This window comes from Homo sapiens, chromosome 9, assembly GCF_000001405.40.
Source record: "Homo sapiens chromosome 9, GRCh38.p14 Primary Assembly".
NCBI lineage: Eukaryota > Metazoa > Chordata > Mammalia > Primates > Hominidae > Homo > Homo sapiens.
Genome location: NC_000009.12, coordinates 128,461,457 through 128,473,486, shown reverse-complemented (window position 1 = coordinate 128,473,486; position 12,030 = coordinate 128,461,457). Strand labels below are relative to the sequence as shown.

The following is a 12,030-nucleotide window of genomic DNA, read 5'->3' as shown; positions in this document are numbered from 1 at the left end:
AAGGTGATCAAGGGCAGGTTTCCTGGAAGCGGTGGACCTAAAGGGACAAGCAGGAGCTAAGTCTGCTCCGAGCAAAGGTGGAGAAAGGGGTGGGAAGGCTCAGTGTGGGTGAGCACAGTCAGGGCAGACTTCCTGGAGGAAGCAAAGGAGGATGACAAGACCTGGTGGCTGATACTTGCAGGAATCAACCACATGCCTTGACTCACTGTGATCCCAGGAGACCCATGATGAGGTCTCCTCAGAGGCCCTGGTGACCAGAGGTCATCTTCAAGGGTCAAGGATTGGGAAGTGAGAGTGGTGGGTGGGGGCCTAGTTAAGCGTGCTCTCCCCCAGCCTGAAGATGTCATAAAGTCTGCCTGATGACGCGTAAAGACCCTGCCCAGCCTGCAGCTGCCCCCTCCCGAGGCCAGTTCCATGGCTGGGGTCCTGCCACCTGCCACCTACTGTTTTCAGCTTCCCGATGGTATCCTTCAAGGCCATGACCTGCTTGGCAGCCGCAGCCCCATCCATTTCCGCCTCCACCAGCTTGGACATGAGGCACTCCTTCTCCTGTTGTAGGTGTTTCTTCTGAAGTCTGGGGCCAGAAAGACGGCTCTGTGAGCCCTCCCAGGCCCCCGCATGCCCAGAGATCCAAGGCTTGCCTCACAATGCCCTAGGGGGCTCACCTCTGGTCAGGGAAAAGTAGGGGAGGGGGCAGGGACAGCCCTTCTGGCCTGGGTGGCCTTCAGAAAGGACCAGGGCCAGAAGTTACATCTGCCTGGGCACCAGACCAGGGCCTCCACACCAGGAGACATTAGCTACCTGTGGCCCTGTTTCTCTCAAACAGCCACCATTGTCATCTCTGCACTGCCCCCCTCCACTGTCACGCCCTCCTACGCACCATCTTCAGATACGATTTTGAGCCCTTCTACCTCTTCTCTACACTGCAGCCAAGGCTAGTCAGGCCACCTCCCTGCTTTTAAAACTTCCATGGCTGTAGGCTGGATACAGTGGCTAAAGCCTGTAATCCCAGCACTTTGGGAAGCCGAGGTGGGCAGATCACTTGAGATCAGGTGTTATCGAGAGCAGCCTGGCCAACAGCTAAAACCCCATCTCTACTAAAAATACAAAAGTTAGCCGGGCATGGTAGTGGGCACCTGTAATTCCAGTTACTTGGGAGGCTGAGGCAGGAGGATTACTTTAGTCAAGGAGGCGGACATTGCAGTGAGCCAGGATCACGCCACTGCACTCCAGCCTGGATGACAGAGCGAGACTCCATCTCAAAAATTTTGAGATGCCTCCCAGGATCAAGCAGTTCTCCTGCCTCAGCCTCCAGAGTAGCTAGGATTATAGGCGCCCGCCGCGACGCCCGGCTTAATTTTTGTATTTTTAGTAGAGACAGGGTTTCACCATGTTGGCCAGGCTGGTCTCGAACTCCTGACCTTGTGATTTGCCCGCCTTGGCTCCCAAAGGGCTGGGATTACAGGCGTGAGCCACCACGCCCGGCCAAATAAATTAATTAAATAAAATAAATCCTTTCCATGGCTTCCAAATGCCCTCAATGCAAATGCCTCAAAGTGGCTGCTGAGAGCCAGCCCCCTGCCAACCTATGTGGCCCCCTTATCCTCTGCCCACCCACTCTGGCCTGCCTTCCATTTCTCAGCTACAAACACTTTCCCACCTTGGGGCCTTCGCATAAGATGTTCCCACTGAGTAGCGTGCTTTCTTCCCTAGCACCCACCTGCCGAATGCTTAACCATCCTGCAGGACACCCCTTAAATATCACTTGTTCCAGAAACAGTTCCCTGCTACCCAGTCCCACACCACAATCCACGGGGTCCTCCCTTTCCCTCATAGTACAAATCATAAGCACAACCAGGTAATTAACTGTAATTAATTGTGTGACTGTTGAACAGGCTCCAGGGCACAGGCACAGTGCCTGTGCCCACCTCCTACGTTGCTTTCCATTATTGCCCAGGGCTCAAGGCAGCCTGGTAGGGAGGAATAGATCAGCGGGGACAGAGCAGGAGCCACCTTACATGGTGAAGTCCTTCTCCTCCTTCATGCGCTCGATGTTGTGCCTCAACACCGTGTTCTCGTGCTCAGTCTCAGCCAGTTCGTGGGCCACCTCCTCCAGCTCTTCCTTCCGTTCCTCCAGGAACCTTTTGGCCATCTGGCGCTCACCTTTTTGCATCTTGACCTGAGCAGGGGGACCCAGGCAGGGGCCACTGAAGGGAGGTCCTTCCTCTATGCCACATTGCTAGGCTCAATGCTTTGGACCAAAATAAGGCCCCGGCCGGGCGTGGTGGCTCACGCCTGTAATCCCAGCACTTTGGGAGGCCAAGGTGGGTAGGTCACTTTTGGTCAGGAGTTCGAGACCAGCCTGACCAACATGGTGAAACCCCATCTCTACTGAAAATACAAAAATTAGCCAGATGTGGTGGCACATGCCTGTGATCCCAGCTACTCTGGAAGCTGAAGCAAGAGAGTCGCCTGAACCCAGGAGCCAGAGGTTGCAGTGAGCCGAGATCGTGCCCACTGCACTCCAGCCTGGGCGGACAAGAGTGAGACTCCATCTCAAAAAAAAAAAAACAAAAACAAAAAAATAAGGAGCCTTCCAATTGAGAACTACACAGGCTGCATGCCAGGGCCTTATGGGTGCAATCTCAGTTAACTGCCATGAAGACTGACTCTCCTGGGAGATGCTGATTTTCTTTTTGTAGATGAGGAAACTCAGTACAGAGAGCCCCAGTGACTTGTGGGTTGGGAACGAAGCCAGGTTGCAAACCGTGGTTTGGCTGGCACACCATAGGAGGAGAGATGTCACAAAAAGGCTCTTGCACTTTGAGTTATAGGGGAAGAAGGGCTTTTTTTTTTTTTCTTTTGAAACAGGGTCTCACTCTGTCATCCAGGCTGGAGTGCAGCGGTACGATCTCAGCTCACTGCAACCTCTGCCTCCTGGGTTCAAGTGATTCTTCTGCCTCAGCCTCCCAAGTAGCCGGGATTACAGGCGTGTGCCTGGCAAATTTTTGTATTTTTAGTAGAGATGGGGTTTCACCATGTTGGCCAGGCTGGTCTTGAACTCCTGACCTCAAGTGATCTGCCCTCCTCAGTCTCCCAAAGTGCTAGGATTATAGGCATGAGCCACCACGCCTGGCCAAGAAGGGCCTATTCTAGGCAGCCAGCCCTAGGTTCTCCAGGAGGTTCCCTGGACCTCGAGTACAGGGTGGAGGATTAAAGACACAGGTCGTGTTAGCAGTGAAGACATAGGCTGACATAGCAATCCAAGTCTAAGGCCTGGATTTTAATGACAACTCTGCCAATTTCCTAGTTGGGGACCTTGGACTTCCAGGTTCTATTTCCAATTCCATTGTCACATCCCACCCCAAGAGAGAGCACGGCAACTGAGGACAAACTTCCTTGGCCTCTTTGGGGCTTTGTTTTTGTTAATTTTTTTATTTATATATATATATATATATATATATATATTTTTTTTTTTTTTTTTTTTTTTTTTTTTTTTTTTTGAGACAGAGACTCTCTCTGTCGCCCAGGCTACAGTGCAATGGCACAATCTCAGCTCACTGCAACCTCTGGCTCCTGGGTTCAAGCAATTCTACCACCTCAGCCTCCTGAGCAGCTGAGACTACAGGTGCACGCCACCACGCATGGCTAATTTTTGTTTTTTAGTAGAGACAGGGTTTCACCGTGTTGGTCAGGCTGGTCTCGAACTCCTGACCTCAGGGGATCCGCCTCCCAAAGTGCTGGGATTACAGGCGTGAGCCACCATGCCCGGCCTGTTTTTGTTAAACCTTATATAAAGCGGAAGGCATAGGCCCTAGTTTCCTAGGTATTTCATCTCTGTAATGAGGACAGTAACACCACTGGCTTCACATGCTGTTGTAAAAATTCAAATTGGACCACCCATGTGGAGCACCAGGACAGCTACATGCTCAATAGAGAGGGCCCTTGTTGGTGGGATGGGATCCCATGCTGCCCCAGCTACCTCCCGGGGCAGGCAACTGAAGCCCGGGGCAACCCTGCAGAGGAGGCCTGAAGGCCTGCAGACGCAGGCTGAGGGACCAGGCAGGAAATCCACCTGGGTGCTCCTGCACATCCTCAGGGTAGTAGCTATCCCAGCCCCCTACCTCCCTCACCTCAGACTTCAGACAACCAACCGCATTCATTAGACTATCAATCTTCTTATCATAACGGTTCATTTTACAGTGACCTGAGTCATCATCTTCTGTAGAGAGGTCACTTAACCGCATCACTGAGACCAGCTTTTCTGAAGATGGTGGCGTGATCTCCAGGCAATGAGGTGGATTCTGATGTAGAGGAGGGAGAAACACATGAACTCAGAAGGCAGAACCTTGACCACGAGTTCCACCACTGGAGGCTTATTTACTGATTAGACGGGAAAAGCTGTAACAGCTAACTCGGGGACCCCAGGAAGAACATACTCTGAACCCTTGTGATGGAACATTACCTATCCATGTTTAAATGATGGTTTTGGAGAATTCCCAACATCAAAATTAAAAGCTTGGGCTACAATGTTAAGTTTAAAATAAAGAACATAGGCTGGATACCCTGTAAAACCAGTATATTGGGAGGCCGAGGCGGGAAGCCAAAACCAGCCTCAGCAACATAGCGAGACCTTGTCTCTATAAAAGTAAAAGAATTAGCTAGCGCTGGGCATGGTGGCTCACATCTGCAATCCCAGCGCTTTGGGAGGCTGAGGCGGGTGGATGACCAGAGGTCAGGAGTTTGAGACCAGCCTGACCAACACGGTGAAACCCCGTCTCTACTAAAAACACAAACTTAGCTGGACATGGTGGTGCATGCCTGTAATCTCAGCTATTCAGGAGGCTAAGGCTGGAGGATCGCTTGAACCCGGGAGGTAGAGGTTGCAGTGAGCCAAGATTGCGCCATTGCACTCCAGCCTGGGCAACAGAACGAAACTCCTTCTAAAAAAAAAAATCAGGTGGGTGTAGTGGCACATGCCTGTGATCTCAACTAATCAGGAGGCTGAGGCAGGGGATTCCTTGAGTCCAGGAGTTCAAGGCTGCAGTGAGCTATGATAGCACCACTGCATGCCAGCCTGGGTGACAGAGCGAAACCCTGTCTCTAAAAATAACAATACTCATAAAGAAATAATATAACAAATCAGCAAAAACATTAATAATACCCAAAGTTGGCAAAAGTTTAGGGCAGTACATTTTTTTATACCTAGGGTAGAAATGAAATATGTCAAAAGTCTTTTAAATGAATATGAATAGCTGATAGTGGATTAGTTACAAAGGTAGATGAATCTGCTGAAAAGGTATTGTAGAAACAAGTGGGTAAATTGGAAAAAGGACCAGATATTGTATGATATTAAGAAATGCTCTTAGGAGTAATCAGTTATTTTGATGATGTAGAAAAATATTATAAATGCACATGGTACAATACCTGGAAAGTATTGTATTAAAAAAATACAATACTTTTTAAATACGTCAGTATAAAAAATATTTTAGGGCCAGGAGCGGTGGCTCATGCCTGTAATCCCAGCACTTTGGGAGGCCAAGGCGGGCGGATCACGAGGTCAGGAGATCGAGACACTGAAACCCCGTGTCTACTAAAAATACAAAAAAATTAGCCGGGCGTGGTAGCAGGTGCCTGTAGTCTCAGCTTTTTAAATATTTTTTTAAATATTTTAAAATGCATATATGCTTCAGGAAACTTTATGCAAAGCTGTAAACACTTTGCTTTTTTTTTTTTTTTTTTGAGACAGGGTCTCACTCCATCGCCTAGGCTGGAGTGCAGTAGTGCCATCTCGGCTCACTGCAACCTCCGCCTCCCAGGTTCAAGCAATTCTCCTGCCTCAGCCTCCCGACTAGCTGGGATAACAGGCACCTACCACCATGCCCAGCTGATTTTTGTATTTTTAGTAGAGGTGGGGTTTCACCATGTTGGCCAGGCTGGTCTCGAACTCCTGACCTCAGGTGATAAGCCCGTCTTGGCCTCCCAAAGTGCTGGGATTTCAGGTATGAGCCACCACATCCAGGTATGTATATTACTTTTAGAAGAAAAGAAGTTACTTTTAATACTTAAAATGACAAAAATAGGAAAATGTATAAACAGTCATGTGCCACGTAACATTTCAGTCAGCAATGGACTGCATATATGACAGTGGTCCCAAAACACCGTATTTTTACCGTACCTTTTCTATATTTACTATGTTTCAATATGCAAATACTTACCATTGTGTTAGTTGCCTACAGTATTCTGTACGGCATCATGCTGTAGAGGTCTGTAGCCTAGGAGCAATAGGCTATACCATACAGCCCAGGTGTGTAGCAGGCTTTACCAATCTCGGTTTGTGTAAGTACACTCCATGATGTTTGCACAATGATGAAAGTGCCTAACAACATGTTTCTCAGAATATATCCCCATTGTTAATTGATATATGACTATATATATATATATATATATATATATATATATATATATATATTTTTTTTTTTTTTTTTTTTTTTTTTTTTTTTTTTAATTGAGATGGAGTCTCGCTCTGTCACCCAGGCTGGAGTGCAGTGGTGCAATCTCGGCTCACTGCAAGCTCCGCCTCCCAGGTTCACGCCATTCTCCTGCCTCAGCCTCCCGAGTAGCTGAGACTACAGGTGCCCGCCACCATGCCCGGCTAATTTTTTGTACTTTTAGTAGAGACGGAGTTTCACTGTGTTAGCCAGGATGGTCTCGATCTCCTGACCTTGTGATCCGCCCGCCTCGGCCTCCCAAAGTGTTGGGATTACAGGCGTGAGCCACCACGCCCGGCCACATGACTATATATTTTTTAAAATGACAAATATATATATATATATATATATGGGAAAGTGTGACTACTTACTCCTTGTGATGGGGAGGGAGTGACATAGACAAAAGCCAGGGGCAGCTTCTAGGATGCTGGGTGATCGTTACACAGGTACCTTCAGCTTGTGAAAATTCATGGAGCAATACACTTCTGATGGGTGTACATCCCTGCACTTTTCCATTTTTTTTTTTTTTGAGATGGGGTCTCACTCTGTCAAGCAGCCTGGAGTGCAGTAGCACAACTTTGGTTCACTGCAACCTCTGCCTCCCAGGCTCAACCCATCCTTACACCTCAGCCTCCCAAGTAGCTGGGACCACAAGTGCACACCACCACACTGGGCTAATTTTTTGTATTTTTGGTAGAGATACGGTTTCGTCACATTGTCCAAGCTGGTCTCCAACTCCTGAGCTCAGGTGAACCGCCTGCCTTAGCCTCCCAAAGTGCTGGGATTACAGGCGTGAGACACCAGGCCCGGCCAGTCCTCTTTTCGTTTTTCTTTTCCGTTTTTTTTGTTTTTTTTTTGAGATGGAGACTCGCTTTGTTGCCCAGGCTGCAGTGCAGGGGCGCGATCTTGGCTCCCTGCAACCTCCGCCTCATGGGCTTAAGCAATTCTCTTGCCTCAGCCTTCTGTGTAGCTGATATTGGTGGCGCGACCACCACGCCAGGGTAATTTTTGTATTTTTAGTAGAGACGGGGTTTCGCCATGTTGGCTAGGCTGGTCTCAAACTCCTGATCTCAGTTGATTTGCCTGCCTCGGCCTCCCAAAGTGCTGGGATTACAGGAGTGAGCCATTGCTCCTGGGCCTGTACTTTTCAACAAGAAATTTTGAAACTTAATAGCAGCCAGAATTGAGTAGCTGATTATTTTTCTGTATTTTCAAATTTCCCTAAATAAAAATAGATCACTTTTTTTTTTTTTTTTGAGACGGAGTCTCGCTCTGTCGCCAGGCTGGAGTGCAGTGGTGCAATCTCAGCTCACTGCAACCTCCGCCTCCAGGGTTCAAGCAATTCTCCTGCCTCAGCCTCCCAAATGGCTGGGCCTACAGGAGCGTGCCACCATGCCCAGCTAATTTTTGTATTTTTAGTTGAGATGGGGTTTCACCACGTTGGCCAGGATGGTCTCAATCTCTTGACCTCATGATCCGCCTGCCTTGGCCTCCCAAAGTGCTGAGATTACAGGCGTGAGCCACCGCGCCCGGCTGATCACTTTTAGTAATAGAGGCAAGAAAAAAACCTAGACCTTCTTTCTCCCAAAGCTGATCTTATATTCCAGGAGTTGTAAGATATCAAACAAGAACCCCACATGCATACAGCAGCTTTTGGTCTTCATTTCCATATCTTCCTCAAACTTCCACCTCCAGGGGCTGTTCCCCTTCCGTCCATGAAGGACAGGGTTGAGTTAGGGCCTCTCAGGGCCACAGGAAGCCACTGGCAAGTGGAAAGGGGCAGACACAAGAATGAAAGCAGAAAAGACAGCTACTGTTTCAGGTGCTGAGAGAACCTGGGCAGGCCACCTCTCTGGGACCTTCCACCTCTAGGATTTGGCAATGGGGCTGGAAGTGGCATTATGCTTTTCAGAGGGGATTATTACCCCTAGCAACCCATGTCAACAGGAAAATTTTTCATAGCAGCATCTCTGTGATGTGTACTTTGAAAACTACCAAGGAGGCCAGGCACAGTGGCTCACGCCTGTAATACCAGCACTTTGGGAGGCCAAGGCGAGCAGATCACTTGAGGTCAGGAGTTCAAGACCATCCCGGCTAAAACGGTGAAACCCCGTCTCTACTAAAAATACAAAAAAAATTAGCCGGGCGTAGTGGCGGGCGCCTGTAGTCCCAGCTACTTGGGAGGCTGAGGCAGGAGAATGGCGTGAACCCGGGAGGCGGAGCTTGCAGTGAGCCGAGATCCCGCCACTGCACTCCAGCCTGGGCGACAGAGCGAGACTCCGTCTCAAAAAAAAAAAAAAAAAAAAAAAAAAAAAAAAAAAATACAAAAACTAGCTGGGTGTGGTGGTGCATGCCTGAGTCCCAGCTAACTCAGAGGCTGAGGCAGGAGAATCACTTGAACCTGGGAGGTGGAGGTTGCAGTGAGCCGAGATCATGCCACTGAACTCTAGCCTGGGCAACAGAACAAGACTCCGTCTCAAAAAAACAAAAACAAAAAAACCCAAACTACCAAGGCTTTTTATTTTTTTAAAAGGCATTTTTGGGCTGGGCACAGTGGCTCACGCCTGTAATCCCAGCACTTTGGGAGGCCAAGGCGGGCGGATCACGAGGTCAAGAGTTCGAGACCAGCCTGGCCAATATGGTGAAACCCCGTCTCTATTAAAAATACAAAAATTAGCCAGGCGTGGTGGTGCACGCCTGTAGTCCCAGTTACTCGGGAGGCTGAGGCAGAAGAATTGCTTGAACCTGGGAAATGGAGGTTGTAGTGAGCCGAGATTGCACCATTGCACTCCAGACTGGATGACAGAGCGAGACTCCGTCTCAAAAAAAAAAAAAAAAAGGCATTTTTGGCTGTGCGTGGTGGTGGCTCACACCTGTTATCCCAGCACTTTGGGAGGCTGAGGTGGGCGGGTTACTTGAGGTCAGGAGTTCGAGACCAGCCTGGCCAACATAGCAAAACCCCGTCTCTACTAAAAATACAAAAATTAGCCAGGTGTGGTGGTGCGTGCCTGTAATCCCAGCTACTCGGGAAGCTGAGGCAGGAGAATCGCTTGTACCCAGGAGGTGGAGGTTGCAGTGAGCCGAGATTGCGTCACTGCACTCCAGCCTGGGTGACAAAACGAGACTCTTTCTCAAAAAGTAAATAAATAAATAAAAATAAAGCATTAAACCTTGCCATACCTCAGAGGCAATCACTGCTTACCACTACTTGCATATTCTCCTAGAAAACGTTCTGTAGATATAAACATATTCTCCCAGAAAACGTTCTGCACATACAAACATATGCGTTTATACATGGACACAGACGCCCATTTTCTGCACAAATAGGGCCGGCCAAATGTTATATGTTGTGCATCTCCATGCTTCATTATCATGCATAAATATCTGTCTCAATCTTTTTGTTTTTGAGACAGGGTCCTTTTCTGTAATCCAGGCTGCAGTGCAGTGACATAATCACAGCTTACTGAAATCTCAACCTCCCCTCCAAGTAAGTAGGACTACAAGTGCGTACCACTGCACCCAGCTAATTTTTTATCTTTTGTAGAGGCAGGGTCTCGTCGTGTTGCCCAGGCTGGTCTTGAACTCCTGGGCTCAAGTGATCCTCCTGCTTTGGCCTCCCAAAGTGCTGGGATCACAGGTATAAGCCACGGCAACCAGCCTCTACCTCAGTCTTTGCAAGGCTGCATGGTATTCCATTGTATGGATGTATCATATTTCTCTTTTGTTTTGTTTTGTTTGAGACAGGGTCTCACTGTGTCACACAGGCTATGCAGTGGCATGATCATGGCTCACTGCAGCCTTAACCTCCCTGGCTCAAGTGATCCTCCCACCTCAGCCTTCTGAGTAGCTGGAATTACAAGCGCATGCCACCACACCCAACTAGTTTTCTATTTTTTGTAGAGATAGGATCTCACTATGTTGCCCAGGCTGATCTCAAACTCCTGGGCCCAAGCGATCCTCCCTCCTGGGCCTCCTAAAAGTGTTGGGATTACAGGTGTGAGCCCACCACGCCCAGCCAGATGTATTATAATTTAACCAACACTCTCCTGATGGACATTTAGGTTGCTTCCAATTTTTCTGTTACAAACAATGCTACAGCAAAAAATCTACAAAAAATCCCTGTACTTGTAATCCCAGCACTTTGGGAGGCTGAGGTAGGCGGATCATGAGGTCAGGAGATCGAGACCATCCTGGCTAACACGGTGAAACCCCGTCTCTACCATAAAAAATTAGCCGGGCATGGTGGCGGGCACTTATAGTCCCAGCTACTCGGGAGGCTGAGGCAGAAGAATGGTGTGAACCCGGGAGGCGGAGCTTGCAGTGGGCCGAGATTGCACCACTGCACTCCAGCCTGGGTGACAGAGCGAGACTCCGTCTCAAAAAAAAAAAAACAAAAAAACAAAATCCCTGTACTCTTCTATGATGTTTTTAGGACAACTTCCTAGACGAAAAATTACAGAATCAATGTTTAGACAAGTCCTGCCAAACTGACTCCAGAACAGCTGAATCAGGTTCACAGTCCTATAAAAAACGTTTTAAAAGATTCGGGCCGGGTGTGGTGGCTCACACCTGTAATCCCAGCACTTTGGGAGGCTGAGGTGGGCTGATCACCTGAGGTCGGGAGTTCGAGACCAGCCTGACCAACATGGACAAACCCTATCTCTACTAAAAATACAAAACTAGCCGGGATGGTGGTGCATGCCTGTAATCCTAGCTACTCAGCAGGCTGAGGCAGGAGAATCGCTTGACCCAGGAGGCGGAGGTTGTGGTGAGCCAAGATCGCGCCACTGCACTCCAGCCTGGGCAAGGGCAACAAGAGCGAAACTCCATTTCGGAAAAAAAAAAAAAAGATTCATTGATATCCCATATGCTTGCTGGCAGGAGATAGTTGTCATTTTTTAAACTTTTTCCATTCAAGAAAAAAGCTCATTGTTTTTGTTTTAAAAAAAATATACTGTGGCTTTTAATTTACATTTCACTGATTATTAGTGAAGTATATGTAGTAAAAAATGTAAGGCAGCAGTCTAATTTCAATCCTTTTAATTTATTGTACTGGTCAGAGCAGTTTCCATTTAATCCTAAGAAAGCCCCATACTCCCTTTGTCTCTAAGGGAAAGGAGTCTCCTTTGTCTGGTAAATCAAGGAGTCAGTTTTGACATAGTTTTATGAGGTATGACTATAAACTTCAAGGAGTTACTTTTGTTTTTCATTTCTATTTTTTTTTCTTTTCACTGCTGGTATGAAAGATTTCTAATGTAATAAACTATAAGAAAAATAGGCTGGCTGTGGTGGCTCACGCCTGTAATCCCAACACCTTGGGAGGCCGAGGCGGGCGGATCACCTGAGGTCAGGAGTTCGAGACCAGCCTGGCCAACACGATGAAACCCCATCTCTACTAAAAATTTAAAAATCAGACGTAAGTGGTGGCGGGCGCCTGTAGTCCCAGCTACTAGGGAGGCTGAGGCTGGAGAATCACTTGAACCTGGGAGGCAGAGGTTGCAATGAGCCAAGATCATGCCACTGCACTCCAGCCTGGGCG

At 48.2% G+C, this 12,030-nt stretch overlaps 1 protein-coding gene and 1 long non-coding RNA gene across 24 annotated transcripts in view, besides 2 other annotated features; one reads left to right on the top strand and one right to left on the bottom strand.

Moving 5' to 3' along the window:
• ODF2 (outer dense fiber of sperm tails 2) overlaps positions 1-12,030 on the bottom strand; it is a 46,108-nt gene that overhangs the window by 27,806 nt on the left and 6,272 nt on the right. For 20 of the 23 annotated variants that reach the window (NM_001351584.2, NM_153436.2, NM_001351577.1 and 17 more), the window contains 3 exon segments: positions 4,134-4,304; positions 2,019-2,179; positions 445-574 (listed from right to left, as the gene is read on the bottom strand). In NM_001351584.2, the coding sequence (NP_001338513.1) occupies positions 445-574; positions 2,019-2,179; positions 4,134-4,304 (462 nt within the window). 23 annotated transcript variants of the gene reach the window in all.
• Positions 76-575: an enhancer, noted in NCBI's record as "H3K4me1 hESC enhancer chr9:131235191-131235690 (GRCh37/hg19 assembly coordinates)". NCBI's record gives its function as "activates a minimal SCP1, AML or CMV promoter by ChIP-STARR-seq in naive H9 embryonic stem cells {active_cell/tissue: H9 hESC(naive)}" and the evidence as "EXISTENCE:reporter gene assay evidence [ECO:0000049][PMID:30033119]".
• ODF2-AS1 (ODF2 antisense RNA 1) lies at positions 475-4,562 on the top strand. The gene is made up of 2 exons (NR_170291.1): positions 475-554; positions 4,204-4,562. It is a non-coding gene; the product is annotated as an ODF2 antisense RNA 1 (long non-coding RNA).
• Positions 576-1,077: an enhancer, noted in NCBI's record as "H3K4me1 hESC enhancer chr9:131234689-131235190 (GRCh37/hg19 assembly coordinates)". NCBI's record gives its function as "activates a minimal SCP1, AML or CMV promoter by ChIP-STARR-seq in naive H9 embryonic stem cells {active_cell/tissue: H9 hESC(naive)}" and the evidence as "EXISTENCE:reporter gene assay evidence [ECO:0000049][PMID:30033119]".